The sequence below is a fragment of the Homo sapiens genome, chromosome 8 (assembly GCF_000001405.40).
Source record: "Homo sapiens chromosome 8, GRCh38.p14 Primary Assembly".
NCBI classification, from domain to species: domain Eukaryota; kingdom Metazoa; phylum Chordata; class Mammalia; order Primates; family Hominidae; genus Homo; species Homo sapiens.
In genome coordinates, this window is record NC_000008.11 from 79,785,884 (window position 1) to 79,811,673 (window position 25,790).

Below are 25,790 nucleotides of genomic sequence, written 5' to 3' on the forward strand. Positions count from 1 at the left end.
CTGGAAAAAATGCGAGACGACTCCAGGTTTCCAAGTTGTACACCTAGATGCATGATGATGGCATTCACTGGGATAAGCAACCTGGAAGACAAAGAATAGGCTTGACTTGGAGTGAAATGATGAGTTTAGTTCGGGCCATGTTGTGGTAGAAGTGACTGGAAGGTATCCAAATAGGGATATCTAAGAGGAATGTGGATATATGTATATGGAGCTCAGATAGGAAGGGGTGGGACCAGAGATGGAATCAGTAGCAATAAGAGATAGGAAGGTGGTGTAGTTTGCCTGTTGCTCACCTGTGTGACCACCACTTTGCAAATGCAGTAAGTCCTCACTTAACATCATCAATAGGTTCTTGGAAGATGCGACTTCAAGTGAAATGTATAAAGAAGCCAATTTTACCATTGGCTGATTGATATAAGCAAGAGTTAAGTTTCCACAGCATGTTTCTGGTTACAAAAACATCAACAAACTTCTAAATAAAGACCCAAAGTACTTGTAATAGTAAACATCAAATAAATGTGAGCTACACATACATCTAAGAAAGATTAATATTGTTGGCAATAAGGGAGAAAAAATAAAAAGAAAGATAAACAAACACTAGTAAGATAATTATTTACCCAGTTATTCCAATTCAGTGTCACAGGCCCCTGGAGCCCATCCAGGTAGGTAGTTCAGGGCACAAGGCGGGAACTAACCCTGGACAGGACACCATCCATCACAGGGTGCACGCACACACACCCGCATTCACTCAGACGGAGAGAGTTCAGACCTACCAATGAACCTAATATGCTCATCTTTAGATGCAGTAGGAAACCAGAGGACCCAGAGAAAACTCCTGCAGATGTGGGGAGAATTCACAAGCTCCACACACAGTGGCTCCAGCCAGGAATCATTTTTTTCTCATTAATGTTATAACAAAAAAACATTGAACAAAATGTTGTTATTCAAGGACTTGCTGTAATTCCTAGATATGCTGCCCCAAAAGCGCCTCAGTAGGACTCTATGATCCCACTTACAGGAGGAATCAAAAGTAGTCAAATTCACAGAAACAGAGCGCAAAGTGGTGCTTGCCAGGGTTTGTGAGGAGGAGGAAAGGGGTGTTGTTTCATGGGTACAGAGTATCAGATTTGCAAGATGAAAAAGTTCTGGAAATTTGTTTCACAACAATGTGAATATACTTTACTGAACTGTACACTTAAAAATGGTTAAAATGGTAACGTTTATGTTACATGTTGTTTTTAAGTTAATCAAAATAAAGGGTGGGAAGGGATTAAGGAGGGAAGGTGATAACCCTACCAGCTGCCTCTGAACAGTACTAGGATAAAATCTATTTCTCTTCTGCTGATGGCACTCTCGCCCATTGTTGCTGGGGAGGTAAGTTAGGGCAGACATTTTAGAATGGACAGTGTGAATCAAGAACCTTCAAAATGTTCATACCTGGCCAGGCGTGGCAGCTCACGTCTGTAATCCCAGCACTTCGGGAAGCCAAGGCAGGAGGATCACCTGAAGTCAGGAGTTCGAGACCAGCCTGGCCAACATGGTGAAATCCTATCTCTACTGAAAATATAAAAATTAGCCGGGCATGGTGACGTACCTGTAGTCCCAGCTACTCAGGAGGCTGAGGCAGGAAAATCACTTGCGGCCAGGAGGCCGAAGTTGCAGTGAGCCAAGATCACGCCACTGCACTCCAGCCTGGGTGACACAGGGACACTGTCTCAAAAAAAAAAAAAAAAAGTTCACACCCTTTACCTAGATATTCCATTGCCTAAAATGGGTCCTAAATAAGACACCAAAAATACTGGGGGAAAATGAAGACATTAGACGTACTTTTTTTTTTTTTTTTTTTTTTGGGAAGGACTCTTACTCTGTCACCCAGGCTGGAGTGCAGTACTCGCTGAAACCTCCACCTCCCGGGCTCAGGTGATTCTCCTGTCTCAGCCTCCCGAGTAGCAGGGATTACAGGCACCCACCACCACACCTGGCTAATTTTTGTATTTTTAGTAGAGACAGGGTTTCACCATGTTGGTCAGACTGGTCTTGAACTCCTGACCTCAAGTGATCTGCCCACCTCAGCCTCCCAAAGTGCTGGGATTACAGGCCTGAGCCATTGCACCTGGCCTAGATATACTTTTAAAACCAAGTGTTCAATACTGGGAAAATAGATAATTAAATATAGTGAAATACCACAAAACTATTACAAATTTTTACAAAAAGTTGATAGCAACATGGGAAATACTTATGAAGTTAAATGAAACAAAATTCAGAATACAAAAGTGTATCTATACGTTGATTACAACTGTGTCAAATACAGTCTATAAATACAATTTTAAAACCTGGAAGAAAATATTCTAAAATATTTATAGCAGGTATTTCTGGTTCCCCAGTATTATTTATTATATAAGTGCTTTATAAACATATCGAAGGCAAAAGAGGGAGAAATAATCTTCCAGTAAACATTTTTAAAGACTGAATATTCCTCCTCCATTTGAATCTGTTTCTTTTTGCTTTTCTTCTGTGAGAAAGAGGAAGCAGGGGATCTTAGCTTCAGGAAGTGATGTCAAACATCTTAGCCAATTCTAAGTGCTAGGAAGACAAATTAAGACCTTCTCTTTAATTGAATGTAATCAGTTAAACAAGGCCACCTGTGGCTGAGATGGAGCCAAGTCCTAGAGACGGCAGCTTTGGTATTAAGCAGCCCTAAAGGTCAGCACCACCCTCTGGGATGGGCTTTTGATTCTATATCAAGTTACAGGGCTGTGCTAAAAGAAACATTCTAATCAAAACCTGAGCATGTGATTGGGTTTAGAAAGTGTTAATAAAAGGAAGAACAGTATAGAATTTTTACCTTAAGGATTGATTTCTTTAAACATAATCAGCAACCAAGCTAGCAAAGAGTGCCTCCTGTGTGCCAGGTACGTTATTAAGCATTTCATGTATAATTAACTTGCTAATAAGCCCGTGAAATAGATTCTACTGTTATCACAATCATCCTCACTTTGCAGATGAGGAAAGTGAGGTACAGAGCAAGATTAAGTAATTGATTCAATGTCATACAGCTTATACAGGTAGAGCTGAGACTTGAACCCAGACAGTTTGACTCCATCATCTGTGTTCCTAACCACTACACTATGTTGCTTCTCGAGATCTAAGATTGTTCTTTGCTAGGTAATTGTGAATTCCAAACACACCTTAAATTAAACCTTGCATTTGGAGCAAATGTTTGCAGTGCATTGCGATCTCCTCATAATAGTGTAATAATTGCACAAGCAGCATTTGGGAAGTGGGAAAGTCCAGTAAAGACTGAATTAGCAGAGCTGAAATTACCAAATGATAACAAATGTCACAGGCACTTTACACATTCAGTATTTCATCTGAGCTTCCAACATAAGGTTGAGAAGATTTTGTAAGGAGTAATTGAGCATTCCCTTGGAAGCAGAAAAATTTTCACACATGGCTTTTTCACAGTGTGGCAGGACTGTCTTTGCCACATCTAGGATAGAATCCAGGTTGGCAATGGAAGAAGACTCCTAAAAGAGTGGATAGCCTGTTGGGCCCATATTCTTTTTAGCCAAGAATTATGTCCTCAGAAATTCTCCAAAGGTCCAAGTACCCTTTGAAATCCTATATGAAGTGAAAACAAACATCATGATGCAAGTCTAAAAATAAGCTCATCCTCTTCTCCCCAAACAAATTCTTCCTTCCAGATTCCTTTACTCAGTAAATGGCACTTCCATTACCTAGTTGCCTAAGCTACTGGACACTGTGATTGCCTGTCCCAGTATCCATCCTCCCCAAGCCATGATTGTGAGTCCACCACGGTAATATCATCTTCCTTGCTAGTGATTGGTTGAGGTGGGCAGCTCCAAGTCAGTCTAGCCAATGAAGCATGAGGAGAGGCTTGCCACAGACTTCTCAGAGAAAGAGGCTAATTTCTCCCTCCTATTCTATCTGAACAACAACAACAAAAAATGTCACTGGGGGTGGCCACGAATTGATTTGATGGGAAAACCAGCCTTAGGATGAAGCCAATGCTGGGGATGGCAGAGTAGAGACAAGGAATGTTGGGCTGATGAACCCATAAGCCCTGAAGCTGTTCCCAGCGGTAAATCTGTTATTTGAGATAATACATTTTCTTTGTTTTTGCCAGCACAAGAAAGGGTTTCAGTTTTTTGCAACAGAAAGCACTCTCACTGATATATTTTGCACATTCACATAATCATCAAGTCCAGTTGTATTAGTTCATTTTTCACACTGCTATAAAGAATACTACCTGAGACTGGATAATTATAAAGCAAAGAGGTTTAATTGACTCACAGTTCCACAGGCTTAACGGGAAGCACAGCTAGGCGGCCTCAGGAAACTTATCATCATGGTGGAAGGCAAAGGGGCACCTTCTTCACAAGGAAGCAGGAGGGAGTGAAGAGCAAGTCGGGGGAACTGCCCTCTATAAAACCATCAGATCTTGTGAGACTTATTCACTATCACGAGACCAGCATGGGGAAAACTGCCCCCATGATCCAATCAACTCCCACTAGGTTCCTCCCTTGACACAGGGGGATTATGGTGATTACAATTCAAGATGAGATTTGGGTGGGGACACAGAGCCAAACCATATTACCAGTCTACTCTCCTTCCTAAGTATTTTGAAACCTATACACCTCTCTCCGTCCCCATTACTAATAATGATCCTGCTCAGGCTACCAATGAGGTCTCTCATCTGAATTACTCCCAAGTCTCCTAACTAATTCCAAAATGCCTTGGTTCATTTGAGTAGGCCTGAAGACAAAGTAAGAAAAAACATCGGCCGGGCATGGCGGCTCATGCCTGTAATCCCAGCACTTTGGGAGGACAAGGCAGGTGGATCACCTGAGGTCAGGATTTCAAGACCAGCCTAGCTAACATGGTGAAACTCCACCTCTACTAAAAATACGAAATGAGCCAGGCATTGGTGGCATATGCCTGTGATCCCAGCTACTTGGGAGGCTGAGGCAGGAGAATCACTTGAACCTGGGAGGCAGAGGTTGCAGTGAGCCAAGATCACACCATTGTACTCTAGCCTGGGCAACAAGAGTGAAACTTCATCTAAAAATAAAAGAGAGAGAGAGAGAGAGAGAGAGAGAGAGAATGTGGAAGGATGATGCTATGACAAGCACAACAAGATTTCCTTATCTAGTCATAGGGCAAAATTTGAGTGACACCATTCCTCAGTTCATCCTAAAAGACACAAACCTCCACTCTCAACTCCTCTGACCTAATGGATCTTCTACTGAGTGGGTTTTTGGAACCACCTCATGGTGGTCATATCACTTCATTCATATCCTTATCTCTGAGACATCCTTTGCACTGGTTGCTTGCTGCCTTGGCAGTAATCCCAAATGAAGGCAACTTCAGTTGAGTCCAAGTTATTCCCATCAGTCTTTGGACCAACCTTTATGGTGTGGCTTCACTTGGATACACCGGGGCCACCTTGGTAGGAAATACAGTTATTTCCATCAGTCCTGATTTCAGTTAGACTCTACAAGTATTTGGTGATCGCCTACTCTGTGCTTGGAATGTGCCAGGCCTTAAAAAGGGCAGACAGTGAGCATATTCTGTTCTCTGTACCCCAGTATTTAATACATAGTTAAATACCCAATATTTAACACATAGTTCTAGTGGTACTCAAAGCTGTTTGTTAATGAGCATTCCCTTTGCCCCACATCCTTGCTAGCATTTTTTATTTTTATTTTTATTTTGAGACACAGTCTCACTCTGTTGCCCAGGCTGGAGTGCAGTGGTGCCTTCATGGCTCACTGCAACCTCTGCCTCCCGAGTTCAAGCAATTCTCGGCATTTTTTATCTTTTGTTGTTAAATCTTGTTGTGCTTGTCATAGCATCATCCTTCCATATTCTTTATCTCTCTCTCTCTTTTTCTTTTTTAGATGAAGTTTCACTCTTGTTGCCCAGGCTAGAGTACAATGGTGTGAGGCAACCTCTGCCTCCCAGGTTCAAGTGATTCTCCTGCCTCAGCCTCCCAAGTAGCTGGGATTACAGGCATGTGCCACCAACGCCCCGCTCATTTTGTCTTTTATTTTTTGTCTTTTTGATAATATTCATTTTAACTGGAGTGAGATGATATCTCATTTTGGTTTTGATTTGCATTTACATGATGGTTAGTGATGAGCATTTTTTCTTATCTGTTGGCCATTTGTATGTCTTCTTGTGATAAATGTCGGTTCAGATCATTTGCCCATTTTTAAATCAGGTTACTTAGTTTTTTGCTACTGATTTGTTTGAGTTCCTTATATGTTCTGGTTATTAAACCCTTGTTGGGCAGTTTGCAAATATTTTCTCCCTTTTTTTTTTTTTTCGAGACAGGTCTCTGTCACCCAAGCTGGAGTGCAGTAGTACAATCATGGTTCGCTGCAGCCTCAAACTACCAAGTAGCTAAAACCACAGTCATGCACCATCACACCTGGCTAATTTTTTATTTTTGTAAAGATGAGGTCTCATTATGTTGCCTACACTGGTCTTGAACTCCTAACCTCAATCAATCCTCCCACGTCAGCCTCCCAAAGCACCAGGATTACAGACATAAGCCACCTTGGCCAGCAATCTTTCATTCTTTAGGCTGTCTCTTTACTCTTTTGATTGTTTCTTTGTTGCACAGAACCCCGTTAGCTTGATATAAGCCCATTTGTCTATTTTTTAGTACACTGTTGATGGGAGTGTAAATTAGTGCAGCCACAATGGAAAACAGTATGGAAGTTCCTCAAAAAACTGAAAATGCACCTGTCATATGATCCTGCAATCCCACTGAGATACATATATATATATGTGTGTGTGTGTGTATAATGTAAAAGAAAAATATATATAAAATACATATATATTATATAAAATACATATATATTATATAAAAGAAAGGAGATCAAGTCAAAGAGGTATCTGCACTCCCATGTTTACTGCAGCACTATTCACAGTAACTAACATATGGAACCAACTTACGTGTCCATCAATGAATGAATGGATAAAGAAAATGTGTATCTATGTGTATCTGTATACACATCGATATATATATACACAATAAAATACTATTCAGCCATAAAAAATAATGGAATTCTATAATTTACAGCAGCATGAATGAGCATGGAGGACATTATAAAAAGTGAAATAAGCCAAGCACAGAAAGACAGATATTACACGTTCTCACTCGTATGTTGGAGCTAAAAATGTTGATGTCATAGAGGTAGAGAGTAGAATGATAAAGGGGATGTTGGGGGATACGGAGGTTGTTTATGGGTAAAGACACACAGTTAGATTGAAAGAATAGGTTCTAGTGTTCCATAGCACAATAGGGTAACTATAGTTAGCAATAATTTATTGCGTATTTCAAAATAGCTAGAAGTGAACATTTGGAATGTTTCCAACACAAAGAAATAATAAATGTTTTAGATGATGGATATCCCAGTTTCCCTGATTTCAACATTACACATTGTATGCATGTATCAAAATATTACATGTACCCTTAAACTATGTACAACTGCTATGTATCAATTTAAATAATTCTTAAATGAGTCAAAGAAAGATATATTGGTGAATATGTGTTAGTCAGTACTCCAGCAACACACAACCTATTGAAGAGATAAACATGAATATAGTTTACCACAAGGCTCAATGGTATATAAAATGCAAAATAAAAACATGTACTGATGCTTATTAGACTCAAGTCCCTCTTCTAAGGGCTTTATATATATTCCCCTCTTACCTGCGGTTTTGCCTTCCATGATTTCAATTACCAGTAGTCAACTGTATTCTAAAAATATTAATTGAAAAATTTCAGAAATAAACAGTTAAAAGTTTGAAATTGCAAACTCTTCTGAGTAGCATGATGAAATCTCATGCTATCCTGCTCCATTGCGTCCAGGATGTGAGTCATCCCTTTGTCCAGCTTATCCACATGCTACCGGCCTGTTAGTCACTTCATCAGATGACAACAACATAGTACAATATGTATAGGGTTCAGTACTATCCAAGGTTTCAGGCATCCACTGGGGGTTTTGGAACATATCACTCACAGATCAGAGGGGACTGCTGTATTAATTTATCAAATCCTCACAACAACTCTTGAAATATGTACTAGTATTATCTATACTTTTCAGAATAAACTGATGCTCAGAGAGGTTAAATATGTTGTCCAGGATTGCACAGCTGGCGGTGTGAAGAAGCAGATAAATTTGAAAATGCAGGAGGAAGGTATTTATTTAATGAAGGATCTGAAAAAGCATCACATCATGGAAAAATGGATTTTGAGCTAGACCTTCAGGGTGAAGTAGGTATTCAACATGCTGGGGGGTGGGTGGCATATTCTAGATTACAGAATAGCTTGAGTAAGACATAGAAGCGGATTTTCAGGGAAAAACAAATAGTCACATGTGGCTGTTGTACATGCCTACACCCTGGGTGTAGAGTGGGAATTAAGTGAGTGGGTATGATGGGAATTATGACTGGGCAAATGGTCACTAGCTCAATTGTGGAGGGTCGCTAGTGGCCCACCCAGCTTTCAATCCCTCTTATATCCTCATAAATGTTCTGTAATCTTCCATCCCTAATCAGCCTGGGTACTTCTGGCGAAGTTAACCCTATACCCAGGTGCAGAGTAGCTCCTGATTTGCTTAAGCCAATCAACATTTTCCATTCCCCTGGCCACAAGATAGGTTTGAGGTTGGGCCTGCGACCCAGCCCTATCCAATCAAGTGAATGTTAGGACTCTTTCCCAGCATTCTGGGACAGAACTCTCTCTCTCTTTTTCTCTCTCCTTTTGAAAGTGTGGGGGTGTGTAGTCCACAAGCTGTGGCCTCCTTGCAAGTACAGGACCAGCCAGCCTCAGTACAGAAAGAAGCAGGCACCTGAGGAGGCATGGCAGGGAGACAAAGAAACTTAGTCTTTGGTCACATCATTGAGCCACTGGATTGAACCATCCTGTAGCCAGTTATCCCATTTTTGGACCTTCCTTTTACATGAACCTGGAAAGCACTTTTTTTTTTTTTTTTTTGAGACAGGGTCTCACTTTGTTGTCCAGGCTGGAGTACAGTGGCGTGATCATGGCTCACTGCAACCTCCACTTCCCAGGCACAAGCGATCCTCCCACCTCAGTATCCCACCTAGCTGGAACTACAGGCACATGCCACCTTGCCCGGCTAATTTTTTGATTTTTTTGTAGAGACAGGGTTCTACCCTGTTGCCCAGGCTGGTCTCAAACTCCTGAGTTCAAGTGATCTGTGTGTCTCAGCCTCCCAAAGTGCTGGGATTACAGGCATGAGTCACTGTGCGCAGAAAGTAAATTTTCTATTTAAGCAGTGTGAGTCAGGTTTTCTGTTGCTTGCACTGTAAAGTCTTCAATAGTAGGATGTGTGGGGGGTTTTTTGTTTGTTTTTTGAGACAGAGTCTCACTCTGACACCCAGGCTGGAGTGCAGTGGCACAATCTCAGCTCACTGCAACCTCTGCCTTCCAGCTTCAAGCAATTCTGGCACCTCAGCATTTCAGGTAGCTGGGATTACAGGTGCACATCACCATGCCCAGCTAATTTTTGTATTTTTAATACAGACAGTGTTTTGCCATGTTGGCCAGGCTGGTCTCGAACTCCTGCCCTCAAGTGATCCGCCTGCCTAGGCCTCCCAAAGTGCTGGGATTACAGGTGTGAGCCACTGTGCCTGGCCAGGATGTGTACTTTTAAATCATTGTTCTGGTAAGTGGTTTAAAAAGCTTACTCCCTGGCCACATGGAGGGTAAATTGGTTGGCAAATCCCAAAGCAAGGGGATGGCTGGAGACCACTGCAATATGCCCAGTGAGAATCATTGCAGGCAGGAGTTAAAGAGTTGACAGTAGACAGAGAAGATTTGAAAGAAGAAGCATTTGTGCAAAGCTTATTTAAAATGGGCTGTTAAATTTAGCTGGGATTGAAAGCTTCATTTTTTCTTCTATTTAATCCCACTAGAATAAAGGATTGTTTGAAAAAAAATAACTTCTAAGATTGTATCAGGTACCTGAAGTCTGTTACTACTCTCATCCCTAAGAGAAAGGAAAAGAGGCCATGTGCAGTGGCTCATGCCTGTAGTCCCAGCTACTCGGGAGGCTGAGGCAGGAGAATCACTTGAACCTGGGAGGTCGAGGCTGCAGTGAGCCCAGATCACACCATTATACTCCAGCCTGAGCGACAGAGCGAGACTCCATCTCAAAAAAAAAAGGAAAAGAGAATTACCTCCATTAGTTATTGCTCATTCTTTCATTATATCCCATATTTCATACTAAATAGTTCATCTTTCCAGGTATTTCTGTCCTTCACATGTTTACAGCCTGATGTCATATCCCTCAAAGTCATCAAGTAACTCAGTTCCACCTACTTAGCTCCTTTAAGTCTTTCTTCATATATCAGATCCTTTCATTCCTCTGCACATAAGAACTTATACTCACATATATTCCCTCCATTCTATTTCACAGCTCTTTAGTGGCAGTGGCCCAGTGTGTACAATCTGTTCCATGTGTCCAGACTCGGCAGGAAATGGGGAGTGGGAGAACAGACAATGAAATTCTGTAGGTCAAACAGAAGGCTAGGATGGATGCCATTATTGTATTGGGCTTGGAGTGAGAGGACCAGGTTTGCAGCCTATCTGTGCTCAGCTGCATGACTTGGGACAAGCCACTTGACCTTTTGAACCTTGGTATCTTCAGTTATAATACAGGAATGATTTTTAGCCCATAAGGGGCTCAAGTCTATCTTATATTCTTCCTTCATCCCCTCTCCTTTATTCCCTAAGGAGAATGAGGGCTGACATGGATGAATCAAGGGCTTGTTCCTGGGCCAACTGGTGAGTAGTATGGTCTCACCCTCTAAAGAATTATAATCTCTTTGAATTGCAAATCCCTCATGGCTAGTAACTCAGGATGGGTCCTGGGCTACTCCAGCCTAGGAGCTATTCTGCTCTGATGAAGTAAAATAAGCCAGGCCTGCTATAGGCTTAGAAAGAATCTCCTTTTCCTCTCCTTTGCTGATCTCATATTTTCTTGAACCAGCCTCTCCTTGGACTCGGGGCTTAAAAACAGAGGGTTGAGAATTAAGTAAAGCTTGGTGGCAGGCAAGTAAAGCTTGGGGCCTACTTACCACATTGCTGCCTCTGCTGTGTCACGAGGAGCCCTACAAGCAGTCCAGCCTGGCTCCCGGGCATGCCCCCGGGTTCAGGGGCAAAAGACTTTGCCTTGGCTTTAGCACATGTCTCTGGGGACAGAAGCAAGGCAGTATGGCGCTTCACACTTTCCGCTTCTCCTAATCTTTTTCTACCTCAATAGAACTAATCCTAATAACACCATCTTATAGGATTGTTATGACAATGTAATGAGATCATCTAAGAGAAAACGTTTTGAAAACTATTCAAAAATGGAAAGTAACAATCTTGAATTCTAAATTCTTCCTATTTTAGTTTCCTCATCTGTTAAATGTAGTTTTTAAAAACTAAAAAGCAAACATACTCATAAGTCTTTTGAGGGATTGCAAGAGGAAAAAAAAAATATATATATATATATTTTATTTTTTATTTAAAAAGGCAATCCAGGAGGGGTGCGGTGCTCATGCCTGTAATCCCAGCACTTTGGGAGGCCAAGGCGGGCGGACCACCTGAGGTCAGGAGTTCGAGACCATCCTGGCCAACATGGTGAAACCCCATCTCTACTAAAAATACAAAAATTAGCCGGGTGTGGTGGCATGTGCCTGTAGTCCCAGCTACTCGGGGGCTGAGGCAGGAGAATCACATGAACTGAGGAGGCAGAGGTTGCAGTGAGCCCAGATTGTGCCATTGCACTCCACCCTAGGAGACAGAGCAGACTCTGTTTCAAGAAAAAAGAAAAAAAAAGGCAATTTATAGTCATGGAAATTATTTCATTTTCACTTTTTTAACAGTTTTGACACTGAAATCCTCTATAAAGTGAATGTATGGTTAGACCTCTTATAGGCTTTATGCCTATTAATGATCTTGTAAATCTGCAGAAAATAGGGCCATCCATTTGCTATAATCCCTTATTGAGAAGATATAGTTGGTTTTACTCTTAACACTGCATAACTGTTTCATTTTAGATTCCTGGTAATTACGTAAGTCCTAGCAGTAAGAAGCCTCTTCTGATTCACAGTGACTCTACCCCATAAACAAGATCTGTCAGTCTATTCTGTAGTTCACAAGTATTGTATCGTGCACAATTGCTGACCCTCATGTAGTTCACAAGTAGAAAGCATGGCCCGGCCCTGTAGGAGCTATACTCCAGGCAGCAGGCATTGATCTTATAGACACAAACAGATATAAATCTCAGCCAATCTCCTACATATGTTCCAAACATCGTGTCTTCCCTAACATAAAGAACTAGACATATTGGGGCTTTAAATAAGGTCTAATTTCCTGAAAGCACAGCCAGCATTTCAGGGGGAAAAAACAAAAACAAAAAAACTTCAGCAGTGGAAATGCTATTTAAAAAATCCGGGAATTTTTCTATCTTTAAGGTAGTAGATGAATGGGTGCCTAAAGATAATTATACCAGACTGGAAGTAAAAATCAGCCAAATAACCATATGACTAAGAGCAGATCTCGCCAAAGCCTCAGCATTATCATAATGCAGGTGTTACTGCACCCCATCTTCCTTCCTCAAGGGGTGCCTTTGCTGAGCCCTGGTGCTATCAAAGGGCTGAGTCTTTCTCTATTCAATCTGTGCACCTCTAGTTGGAGGATTCCAGGGGATTCCATGTCAGAGCCCACATCAGAGGCTGGAAAGAAAGAGGTTGGGCACACATTTGCCCCTTGCCCTGGCCACCCCTGACCACCACATGGCCTGGCAAGTGTGCACACAAAGCCCAACGCTGGGGAGCTGGCACCATCTGGGGGGAGAATCACAGTGTCAGAGGACAGCATAGACCTTCTGGCTCCTGTCACCTGCCCTCATGCCACATAAAGAGAAAGCTCCAAGGCACAGACCTCCCAGGAAGGGATTGACTCCAACATATCTCTGTCATTTGTCCCATATCTGCTTTTTAAGTACGCAGACTAAGCCAGACCCTCATGACTAAGTATACACTGGTGAACAAAAAGACGTCCTGCCTGCCCAGGTCCCAGAGCAAAGGTGAGGATGAATCCTTCCATTTGGGTTTAAGCTTCTCACCAAAAGAGATCCAGACCTCACTAGTGGATCTTAAGGGCATCTGTGCCTTGACAACATTAACACTAATATCTGACACTCAAAACATTCCTTTTTCTCAGCTTAATGTTACTGGTAAAAGAAATTTTTTATATATTAGCCCTGCCCTTCTTACATGGGGGTGCAGTGGGCTTCTTCTGGCTAGTTTGAGGCCACTAGCCTCAAACACTTCGTGTTCACTCTCTAAATAACCCAAGGAAATGGCCACTACAGATTCTTTGGATACAGCTTCTACCTGACAGAGGGAGGTAAGAGTAGTGGTGGGGGTGGGGGGAGTTTCATTTTCTTAATGCCCAAACCTCAGTTAGCACTTTAGAGTACAGAGGGAAGATTCTGAAATTTTCTGTGTAGGAATTCAAAAATGATTACTTGAGTAAATTTGCATTTCTGAAACAAGCATTTGTAATAACCCCTAAATAAATTATAAATTTCATTCTGTCACAGAGTCTGAATCAATGAGATTTTGATGGATTTCTGTTTTGTGGGTGGAGACAGGGAAGACTCCTTGAGTCTGAGGGACTTGCAGGAGGTGACTCTGCTCACGCAGACTCTTGACCTTTCACCAAAGATGGCTTGGGCGTGCCGGGTTAACAGGCTCCTAAACCTGCCTGGAGCAGTACAAAAACAAACATCAACATTCTCTGCACAGGCTGAAGCTCTGAGATGTTCCAGCAACCCACATTACAGAATGCAATTTCAATTCCAATTAACCATATCACTAAATCATTCTAAGGTCACCTGGGGCAGTGTATTGCAAATTGACAGCCACTGCCCACTCAGTTTAATAGGAAATGACCAGTGTTTTCTAAAAATAAGAAAAGAGTATAATAGAAAATATTAGAGTACATTGCACATCATGAAGTATTGTTTTATGAAATACTTAGTTCAGGCAGGTAGGTAGGTGATGCATCATTACTGTGGGCTGGATCATAATACACAATGCATTTCTACTATGCTCTTAGTCAAAGTAGACAAACAATGGCTAAGGTGTGCTCTCATTATTTAGTCCTCTCTTTCTTTCTTTTTTATTTTTTTCAATGAGGCTTTCCAGAAAAAACTGGAAAGCCTGCTAGACAAATTCTGCAAGAGCTGTTAACACTTTTTTTTTTAACTCTTCTTTTTCAGTGCTGCCAAATAAACAGTGTGCTTCATTCTCAGTCCTTTGCATTCATATTACCCAGAGATACCAAATGGCCTCTGCATACCCATCAGGGTTTTACCTGCCTTGAAGGGGTGATTGCAAGGCATATATTACTTTTTAGGATGGGAACAGCCTGGGTAAAATGAGAGTCATTCATGAAAATTCCATGCATTTTGCAGAACTTAACAAACTGATCACTCACACCTTTTCTTTTTCTGGTCAAGGTAGTAAGTGGTTTTCAGGATTTGGCCTGAGATTCATCAGAGTCCCATGCATCGTGACACCCTCTATTGCTAGGCTTCTAAAACCCTGTGTATTTTCACAGGTCCTCTGTGGACAGTGAGCTGGACTGACCTCACAACCCTCCAGTATGTGCAGTGGCTGAGAATGACCCACTCCCAGCAACTTTCTGCAGCCAAGGGGTTAATCCTCCCTGAGCTGAAGCCTGACATGGGGTGAGCCACAACCTCCCCCTCACAGCTGTTTTAGCATTTCATGTGCCTGACAAGAAGCATTTACGTCTGACCTAAACCTCACCTGTTGCAACGTGACTCCATTCATTCACTCTGTCACCAGAGTGATGGTCACCAGATATTTCTGGAGGCCCTGCAATGGGCTTGTCATTGCACGAGGTGCTGCAGAACTCACAGTTCTGCCACAGAGACAACACACTCATAAATCACAATGCCAGGCCACATGTGCGGCAAAGGCCATGAGGCTCTAGGTGTGCAGAGAGGGGACAAAGAGGGTTGGCCTTGGAAGGTCTGGTGTAGCTCACAGAAAGGCTGGTTATGACTTGCAGTCATTTAAGTGCAGATGGAGAATAGTTGATATCTTCCTCCTATGATTAATTCTCCCCAAACTTTTCTTTTGACTCTTGATGAAATATTCTCAATGAATTTTTCTTTTTATATCCAATTCTTAGTCCTTCCAGCAATTTTATCATCAAAATCTGTTAATTTTCTATCTCTCCTTGCTGTGGGCTGAATGTTGTGTCTTCCCAAAATTCATTTGTTAAAATCCTAAACCCCAAGTATAATGGTATGAGGAGGTGGGGTCTTTAAGAGGTGATCAGGTCATGAAGGTAGAGCCCTCACAAACTGATTTAGTGCCATTATAAAAAAGGCCCCCAAGAGACCCTCGCCTCTTCTCCCATGTGAGGATACAGAAAAGACAGTGTCGATGAACCAGGAAGGAGGGTCCTCACCAGGCACTGAATCTGCCAGCACTTTTATCTTGAACTTCCCAGCCTCAGAACAGGGAAAAATTAATTTCTATTGTTTATGAGTTATCCGGGTTATGGTATTTTGCTATAGCAGCCCAATAGACTAAGACTCTCCCTGTATAATGTAAGTTCTATGAAAGTAACGACTTTGTCTATTTTGTTCCTTGCTCTATCTTCAGCATCTAGTACAGTGCCTGGCAATAAATATTTGTTCAACAAATGTATGAGCCCATTTTCTATGGGCTTCATTAGGCTGAGATGGGGATGGGAACTAATGTTTAAAATGGGTTCCTATTACAAACAATGAAACAAACATCTCAAGCTCTCCTTCCTACTCACTTTTGTAGGAACTCCATCCCCTCCAGGTCTCTCCTGCTTGTTTCTGAGCATTCCTGGAGATGTTTTCGGTGTGCTCAGGAACAAGTGCTAAAGATGTGGCTACCGCACTGGAAACCTCAACAAGCTAAGGAGGTTCTGTGTTCTCCGAAGCCCTCTGTGCATCACAGCCATGGCTGTAAGCCATGAAGAAAGGGAAAGAGCACCTCCTTCTCGCCTTGTATAACCTCTTGTCACACAGGCACCAAAGCAGTATGACACTGTGCTTTGTAGTTGGAGGTTTTGTAATGAAAATACTTCCCATATTTACTTACATGTCTTATTTCCTCTGGATCCAGACATGAGTACAGGAAGAGCTCATCTGAGGACAAGGAGCAGTATTCAGACTCTCTCCTTCCTCCCTGCTGGACACCAAGACATTCAGATTAGCTGAACTTAGTAGGCCACCTCTTCCTTAGGCTGAGGCACTCCCGTGAGGCTATTCAGTGCCCTCTGCAAAGGAGTCTACTCTCTTAGCCCACTAACCATTACCAGGCTGTCTAGATTCCAACAGTGACCATGTTCAACCTTGAGCTTGAAAGCCACTACAAAATCCTTTCTTATAAATAGAGCTTTGGGTTGGCATAGAAATTTGGCATGTACCTGACCAAGCCTGTGTCTATGTCATTGGTATTTTATGTCCTATTCTAGGGCTTGTATGTGTCCAGGAAGTCTAGTGAATTCGACCATGAATCCAGACATGGCCAGTGGCTAAATCCTGTGGGAAGACACTGTGCTTCTCTCTGACCCATGAACACTCTGCTAGTCAAGCTCTCTGTCACAAAGACAACTTGAAGAGACAGAGTGGACCTCACAGAAGATACCATCGTCACTCTTACCAATGCAACTGTGGTGAACAGGACCACTATTATTCCTTAGATCAAAAGGACAGCACATTCAACAGCATCCTCATGGCATGCCAGCAATTTGCATAGGATGTTCACAATTAAACTTTGATTATCTAGTGCTTTGTGGATGTATTATGTATTACAGAAATCTATTTGCAACATGGAGGCACATTTTCTCTTTTGTTTGTTCACTTGTTTATCTGAAAATCAACAAATGGTTATAGAATGCCTACTATGTGCCAGGGACTTCTGGTCACAGCCTCAAACAAAAGAGATTCTTCTGTATTCTATTCTTCTGTAGCTTACCATAAATAAGAGCATTCCATAGGTAAGAAAACAGTTAAATAGTAAGATAATTTCACATAATCATAACTTTGGGCCTGATGTGGTGGCTCATGCTTGTAATCCCAGCACTTGGGAGACCAAAATGGGAGGACCACTTGAGCCCGGGAGTTCAAGACAAGCCCTAGCAACATAGTGAGACCCCCACAACAACAAAAATGAAAAAATTAGCTAAGAATGGTGGTGCACACCTGTAGTCCCAGCTACTCTGGAGGCTGAGGCGGGCGGATTGATTGAGCCTGGGAGGTGAAGGTTATGAGCCCAGGAGGTGAAGGTGAAGGTTATTGCTTGAGCCCAGGAGGTGAAGCTAAGATGGTGCCAATGCACTCCAGCCTGGGCAACAGAGCAAGATCCTGTCTCAAAAAAAAAAATTAAAAGCTAAATTTTATGAAAAAATTATAAAAAACAAATTTGATGAAAAAAATTACGCAGAACAATCTAACACAAAAGGTGGCTGGGATTTGCTGGCCTGTGTCATTCACATCCCCCTTGTCCCTTGCAGTTTCTAGAGTACATGCCAGAAAGGTGAAATGCTTGTTTCCCCAACCTCCCTTACTGCTAAGAGAGTAGCAGCCTGACACAAATCCATGGCTCCAAACAAAATACCCTGAGGAGCACTTTCCTGCCCAATAAAATGCAGAGCCAGAGCCACATAAGAAAAGACTTTGATCCTTTAAACTCTCCCTTCTCCTTGTTTGAAACAAAGATATAATACCCAGAGGCACAGCAGCTATCTTGCAATCATGGAGTGATCATCATATGGAAGAATGTCATGATGTTAATGACTACCGCAGAGTAGGAAGCAAGAAGGAGGCTGCATCCCTGCTGTCACTATTGAGCCCTGCAGAGCCTTCACCTAACTACCCTGGACATCTTCATCAGTTTGAGACAAATAAGGCTCCATCCATTTAGGCCTTTGTTAAGTTTGTTCTTATTTGCAGCCAAACACTTTACTAACTACTAGAGAGATGTACAGCTGTGGGTCAGAAGCCACTTTAGGCCGGTCGTGGTGCCTCACGACTGTAATCCCAGCACTTTGGGGGCTGAGGTGGGCAGATCACGAGGTCACGAGTTCGAGGCCAGCCTGGCCAGCATAGTGAAACCCCGTCTCTACTAAAAATACAAAAATTAGCTGGGCATGGTGGCACGTGCCTGTAATCCCAGCTACTCAGGAGGCTGAAGTAGGAGAATAGCTTGAACCCGGGAGGCAGAGGTTGCCGTGAGCCGAGATCACGCCATTGCACTCCAGCCTGGGAGACAGAGCGAGCCTCTAGCTCAAAAGAAAAAAAAAAAGCTACTTTAACCAATGTGATTATGGAAGTCTTCTCTGAGGAGATGACATTTTAGTTGAGACCTAAATGATAAAAAGCAGCCAGCCATGTAAAGATCTGGGGAAAAGAATTTCAGGCACAAAGAATAGCAAGTGCGAAGGCCCTTAGACAGAAATAGGTCAGCCATGTTCAAGGAACAGAGAAGATGTGCCTGAAGCACCATGAATGAGGGGGATTTCAACCATGGTGAAGGCCCTAGAGGGAGGGGGATGGACCTTGGGGAACCCTCTACACCTACCTAAAACTCTGAATTTTATTTTAATACCAAGGAGGAGATTTGAGATAGATAGATTTGAGATATGTTTTGGCAGTAAACCCTTCAACAGGACTCATTGGTGGAGCAAATGTAGAATAAGGGAGATACAGGTGACTCCTGGATCTTTGTTCTGAAAAACTGTGTGGAAGATGGAGCCACTGCATGAGTGGGGAAGAATGTAGGAGGTCCAGGTTGGGAAAAGGAAGGGAATGCTGAATCAATTGTATTTTATGTGATGTCTGAGATGCCCATTACAATTCCAAGTGGCAGTGTCATATGGGAAGCTGGATACATGAATCTGAAGCTCCAGGGAGAAATGAGGGCTGGAGACAGACATTTGGAACCATCCACATACAGATGCCATTTAAGTCATGGGTCTGGATGTGATTTCCTGGCTGGAGAATATAGATAAAGAAGTTGAGGCCAGGTGCAGTGGCTCATTCCTGTAATCCCAGCACTTTGGGAGGCTGAGTGGGGAGGACTGCTTGAAGCCAGCAGCTGGAGACCAGCCTGGGCAATATAGTGAGATGCTGTCTCTACAAAAAATAAATAATAATTAGCTGGGTGTGGTGGTGCATACCTGTAGTCCCAGCTACTCCTGAGGCTGAGGCAGGAGGAGAGCTTGAGCCCAAGAGTTCAAGACTGCAATGAGCCATGATCATACCACTATCTTCCAGCCCAGGAGACAGAGCAAGAACCTGTCTCAAAAAAAAAATATATATATATATATATATGTTGAGGCCTGGGATACTTTGATACTTCAACATTTAGACTTAGAACAGAGGTAACAGAACTAGCAAAGGGGACAAAGAAGGAGCATCCAGGGAAGTAAAACAAAATCAGGGAGTTTTGAGAAGAAGCTTTAAGAAAGAGGGAGTGATTGGCTCTGTTGAATGATGCTATGAGGTTAAAAAAAAAGGAAACAGGAAAGAGCTGTTGGATTGAACTTGTTGGGTGTATTTGGTTATCTTGCTAAGAGCAGTTTCAGAAGAGAGGAGAAGCAGAAGTCTCATTTTTCTGGGATCAAGACCAAACGGGAGATGAGGAAAGGAAGTACAGACATCTCTTCAGTACAGAGTAATTTCACTATGAAGGGAAGCAAGAAAAATGGGGCAGCAGCTGCAGGGTGCTTGGGTTAATAGAGGATTTGGGGAGAGTTTTTAGTTAGAGGACAGATCCCACAGCACTTGTCTACACAGTAACATAAGTTGTGCAGAGTAAAGCAGAGGGTTTGATATTGATTGAGCTCCTACTGCATATTAGACACTTTACAAATTCCCATTAATTCCTCTCAACAAGCCTGTGAGGTGGGAATTTTTATCCTCTTTATAGAAATGAAGGAGGCAATATAATATATTGGTTAGTACTTCAGGTTTGAGTACAACTAAGTCAGAGCTCACAGCTTGTTAATTGTGTGACCTTGACCAGTTACTTAACTCTCTTTGCCTCACTTTCTTCATCTGAAAACTGGGAATAAAAACAGTACTTACCTCACACGATTGCTATGAGGATTAAATAAAATAATCCATCTAAAACAGGTAGCACAAGACCTCACATATAGTAATTGCTCAATAAATATTAGTTCTTTTTAGAGATGAGGAAAGAGAACCTCAGAGGTTATGTCCATTTATTTAACAAATATGTTGAGCTTCTACTTTTTACTAAGTACTGTGTGAGGCCAGAGAGTACAGCAATGAAAAAATAAATATCATTGTCTTCATAGAACTTAGAATCCATAATAATCATGGTCATGGTAATAACAATAAGAGTAAAACCAACAATCACTAACATGTACTATGTGCCAGGCCACAAAGGTATCATCGTTGTGAGCAACAAAAGCAGAATCTGCCTTGCTCCATTTTGTCTTTTTATTATGTCATCCTTCCCAGGGGTATCATTTTGCAAGCAGAAGGAAACCCAAGTCTAATGAAATAATCCTCTTGTATGAGGATGTGTGACTGAAAGGAAAACATTAGAGGTGAAGAATAACCTCTCTTGCTTTCTCCACTATTTCCCCAAGATCGTATGGGAAACAGATTTTAGGGATTACTTTTCTCTACTTCCTGACTTGTTTCCCCTTCCCTGGTTTCTTCCCAGGTTGTTTAATTAATTAAGGACACAAATGTGGCTGGCACCATGTTACATACTGTGTGCTATCAAAAATAAGTGTTGTAGGCTGAACTGTGACACCACCCCCAGCAAATTCATCTGCCAATGTCCTAACCTCCTAGTACCTCAGAATGTGACTGTATTTGGGAAAAAAGAGTTTTTTTGTTTTTGTTTTGTTTGTTTGTTTTTTGATATGGAGTCTCACTCTGTCACCCAAGCTGGAGTACAGTGGCGCAATCTTGGCTCACTGCAACCTTCGCCTCCTGGGTTCAAGGAATTCTCCTGCCTCACCCTCCTGAGTAGCTGGGATTACAGGCGTGCGCCACCATGCCCAGCTAATTTTTGTATTTTTAGTAGAGATGAAGTTTCACTATGCTGGCCAGGCTGTTCTTGAACTCCTGACCTCGTGATCTGCCCATCTCGTCCTCTCAAAGTGCTGGGATTACACGTGTGAGCCACCGAGCCTGGCCAAAAAGAGTCTTTAAAAAGATAGTTAAGTAAGACCGGGCACGGTGGCTCACCCCTGTATTCCCAGCACTTTGGGAGGCCGAGGTGGGCGAACTCCTGAGGTCAGGAGTTCGAGACCAGGCTGGCCAACATGGGGAAACCCTGTCTCTACTAAAAATACAAAAATTAGCTGGGCATGGTGGCTGGCACCTATAATCCCAGCTACTTGGGAGGCTGAGGCAGGAGAATCACTTGAACTCGGGAGGTGGAGGTTGCAGCAAGTCAAGATCACACCACTGTACTCCACCCTGGGCAACAGAGCCAGACTCTGTCTCAAAAAAAAAAAAAAAAAGATAGTTTAGTGAAAATGAGGTCATACAGGTGTGCCCTAATCCCGTCTGACTGTGTGCTTATAAGAAGAGGTGATTAGGACACAGGCAAACACAAAGGGAAGATGATGTGAAGACGCAGGGAGAAGACGGCCATCTGTAGCCAAGGAGAGAGGCCACGGGAGAAAACAGCCCTGCCAACACCTTAATCTCAGATTTGTAGCCTCCAGAACTGTGAAAAAATTAATTTTTGCCACCCAGCCTGTGGTCCTTTGTGATGGCTGCTCTAGCACACTACTATACAAGTAAAACAGACCCTTGGCCTGCGAGATGTCACAGGGATGTGGAGGACATGGGACACGCTTATGACTAACTGCCGAGCAAGACAGGGCAAAGACAGCACCACGTGAGAAGCACTAAGGTTAAATTCCCTAAGTACCAGGGTTAAAGAGACCATTCACGTCGGCGGAGGTGGACAGTCAGGAGAGATCTGAGGAAGAAGGCAATTGTAAACTGGGATGAGAATGACTCACTGGGACCTACTGGGTATCAGATGGGAGATAAGGGCGTTCCAGAGAGATGGAATGAATCCTTTTTTATTTTTGTCTATTATTAGTTCACTCTCTTTGCACCTCCTCTTATGTATTAACCTTACCAGAATCTAATCAAATTATCATTCTGTTATTATTTCATTATTATGTTGATTAAGAAGCAAAAGTATCATTATCCCCATTTTTCAGATGAGGAGGCTGGGGCACAGAGAGGGAGGTAACTTGTCCAAGGCTGTACATCTAGCAAGGTGGACAGCCGGATGCACGCCCGGGTGGTTCTCCCTCATTGATCCTGTAACTGAGACCAAGTGTGGTCAAGCAGCGGGTGGACATAGATTGAGGCTGTGTGGAGCAAACGGTGCACAACAAGCAAGTGCAGCTCCTTTTTCAAGACACATAGGCAGAATGAAAAGGACAGAACTAGCACAGCAGCCTGAGAAGAAAGGGAAGGTGAAGGAAGTTGCTTTTATCTTTGAAGAGGGGGAAGATTAGAAATTGTAAGTGAAGGTCGGGCGCGGTGACTCACACCTGTAATGCCAGCACTTCGGGAGGCCAAGGCAGGTGGATCATGAGGTCACGAGTTCAAGACCAGCCTGGCCAAAATGGTGAAATCCCATCCCTACTAAAAATACAAAAATTAGCCGGGCGTGGTGGCAGGTGCCCGTAATCCCAGCTACTCAGGAGGCTGAGGCAGGGAATTGCTTGAACCTGGGAGGGAGAGGTTGCAGTGAGCCAAGACTGTGCCACTGCACTCCAGCCTGGGCAACAGAGCGAGACTCCATTTCAAAAAAAAGAAAAAAGAAAGAAAGAAAAAAGAAATTATAAGTAGGTCAAAGGGAGGAAGGAGGAAAGTAGTGAAGACAGGAAAGAAGATAGTTGGCAAAGAAAGGTCATGGAGGAGAGTAGAGGCCTAGGATTTAGTGCCTGCTTAGGGCGGGGAGAGTTTGGGGCAGTGAGGTCAGCATTGGAAAGAATGCAGGACGCCTTCGGATGTGAAAGTGTAGGAGGGCTAAAGGGAAGAGATTAGGAGATGCAGGTGCTGCAACACCGAAGGCCGCAGGCCTTGTTTTTTCGTTTGTTTTGTTTTCTTTTTCTTCTTTTTCCTTCCTTTTTTTTTAATGTTTATTTCTTTCTGTGACATGCAATGCAAGCGGAGGTGGCGGAGTGGGAGACCTGAGGGTAGTTGTCAAGTTTGGGGATTTGAAGAGATACTAAGGACAAGAAAATGACAGCAGAAGAGTCACCACCTACACGCAGCACAATTCTGTCCAGGAAAGCTCCACAGCAGAGGTGGGGGGTGGAGAAGGCAGCTGGTCATGGGAATCAGCGGGGGCTGGGTGTGGGGCAAAGTCAAGGAAATCAGAGAACCAAGAGTTAGGAGAGATGTTGAAGGGACTGAGCAGGAGAACCAGGCTAGGGACATGAATAGAGTAAGGAAGTGAAGGCTTAGGAGAAACAGGGAGGGTTTCTAGGACTGAGAAGGATCCCATTCCAATAGCCATTGTCAGTTCCTTACTAGAGCTTTCCTTTTTATCTTTTTGTATAGATTTTTAAAAATATTTATATATTTTTTGGAGACAGGGTCGTGCTCTGTTGCCCAGGCTGCAGTGCAGTGGCTCTTCACAGGCAAGATCATAAATCACTGTAACCTGGGCTCCTGGGCTTGAGTGATCCTCCTGTTTCAGCCTCCTGAGTAGGTAGAACTAGAGGCGCATGCCACCATGCCTGGCTAATTTTTTTTAGCAACAGGATCTCACTATGTTGCCCAGGCTCTGATGTTTTATATTTATTTATTTCTATTTGAGACAGAGTCTCCTGTCACCCAGGCTGGAGTGCAGTGGAAAGACCACTGTTCATCACAGACTTAACCTCTCAGGCTCAATTAATCCTCCCACTTCAGCCTCTTGAGTAGCTGAGATGACAGGCACACACCACCACCACACCCAGCTAATTTTTGTATTTTTTGTAGAGACAGGGTTTTGCCGTGTTGCCTAGGCTGTTCTCAAACTCCTGGGCTCAAGCAATCCACGCTCCTCGGTCTCCCAACGTGCCGGGATTACAGGCGTGAACCACCACACCTGGCTTCAGATACTTTAAATGAAGACTTCTAAGCAAATGAAGCATGGGCAGAATTTTGTTCTGTGGCAACTTTCATGATCAGCCTATGAGAAGACATCATGGGCAAGGTGTGACTAGTAGGGAATGTACCTTTTACACAAGCACTAGAACTTATGTGGCCAATATGTAAGTTCTTCTTGGGAGGCCACATTTATTTCTTGGAGTCTTCTTGGGAGGCTACATCTCTTCCAAGGATGCAGCTGTTAGCCCCAATATTTTTTTTATCTTCTCTTGGCACTTTCCTTCACATCTCCTCAGTTGTGCCATATCATCATTCTTTCTTTCTTTTTTTTTTGACAGAGTCTCACTCTGTCACCCAGGATGGAGCACAGTGGCATGATCTCAGCTCACTACAACCTCCACCTCGCAAGCTCAGGTGATCTTCCCACCTTAGCCTCCCTAATAGCTGGGACTACAGGCCCGTGCCACCATACCCTGCTAACACTTGTATTTTTAGTAGAGGATAGGTTTTTGCCATGTTGGCCAGGCTGGTCTCAAACTTCTGGCCTCAAGTGATCCACCCGCCTTGGCCTCTCAAAGTGCTGGGATTACAGGCAAGAGCCACCACACCCAGCCAGCCTATCATTATTCTTTATGTGTAGATTTGAAGTTGATGGATTTGATTTTTGGAAAAAAACAAAAACCAGTAAGCATTGTTTGATTCAGCTGAAGTTTTTCTTTTAACAGAAAACAATGAGGAAGGGATTCCCTATTTAATAAATGGTGTTGGGAAAACTGGCTAGCCATATGCAGAAAATTGAAACTGGACCCCTTCCATACTACACCTTATACAAAAATTAACTCAAGATGGATTAGAGACTTAAATGTAAAACCCAAAACTATAGAAACCCTAGAGGAAAATCTAGGCAATACCATTCAGGACATAGGCACGGGCTAAGGTTTCATGACGAAATTGCCAAAAGCAATTGCAACAAAAGCAAAAATTGACAAATGGGATCTAATTAAACTAAAGAGCTTCTGCACAGCAAAAGAAAGTATCATCAGAGCAAACAGGCAACCTACAGAGTGGGAGAAAATTTTTGCAATCTATCCATCTGACAAAGATCTAGTATCCAGAACCTACAAGGAACTTAAACAAATTTACAAGAAAAAAAAACCATTGAAAAGTGGGCAAAGGCCATGAACAGACAATTCTCAAAAGAAGACATCCATGTGGCCAAGAAACATATGAAAAAAAAGCTCAACATCACTGATCATTAGAGAAATGCAAATCAAAACCACAATGAGATGCCATTTCACGCCAGTCAGAATGGAAATTATTAAAAAGTCAAGAAACACTGCTGGGTGCAGTGGCTCATGCCTAAAATCCCAGCACTTTGGTAGGCCAAGGCAAGTGGATCACTTGAGGCCAGGAGTTCGAGACCAGCTTGGCCAATGTGGCAAAATCCTGTCTCTACCAAAAATATAAAAATCAGCCAGGCATGGTGGTGCACGCCTGTAATCCCAGCTACTCAGGAGGCTGAGGCAGGAGAATCACTTGAACCTG

The 25,790-nt window shown here is 42.8% G+C and overlaps 2 long non-coding RNA genes, 1 other non-coding gene and 1 pseudogene across 3 annotated transcripts in view; 1 reads left to right on the plus strand and 3 right to left on the minus strand.

The window, feature by feature from the left end:
* LINC01607 (long intergenic non-protein coding RNA 1607) overlaps positions 1–16,959 on the plus strand; it is a 34,701-nt gene extending 17,742 nt beyond the window's left edge. The window contains exon 4 of the long non-coding RNA NR_125410.1: positions 16,604–16,959. This is a non-coding gene — a long non-coding RNA (long intergenic non-protein coding RNA 1607). The remainder of the gene's footprint in view (positions 1–16,603) is intronic.
* LOC101927040 (uncharacterized) overlaps positions 1–25,790 on the minus strand; it is a 102,366-nt gene that overhangs the window by 16,512 nt on the left and 60,064 nt on the right. Inside the window, exon 4 of the long non-coding RNA NR_110954.1 lies at positions 16,228–16,314. This is a non-coding gene — a long non-coding RNA (uncharacterized LOC101927040). The remainder of the gene's footprint in view (positions 1–16,227; positions 16,315–25,790) is intronic.
* Positions 14,153–14,411, minus strand: RNU7-85P (RNA, U7 small nuclear 85 pseudogene; annotated as a pseudogene).
* On the minus strand, positions 14,250–14,312 carry LOC124902076 (U7 small nuclear RNA). The gene has a single exon (XR_007061196.1). It is a non-coding gene; the product is annotated as a U7 small nuclear RNA (small nuclear RNA).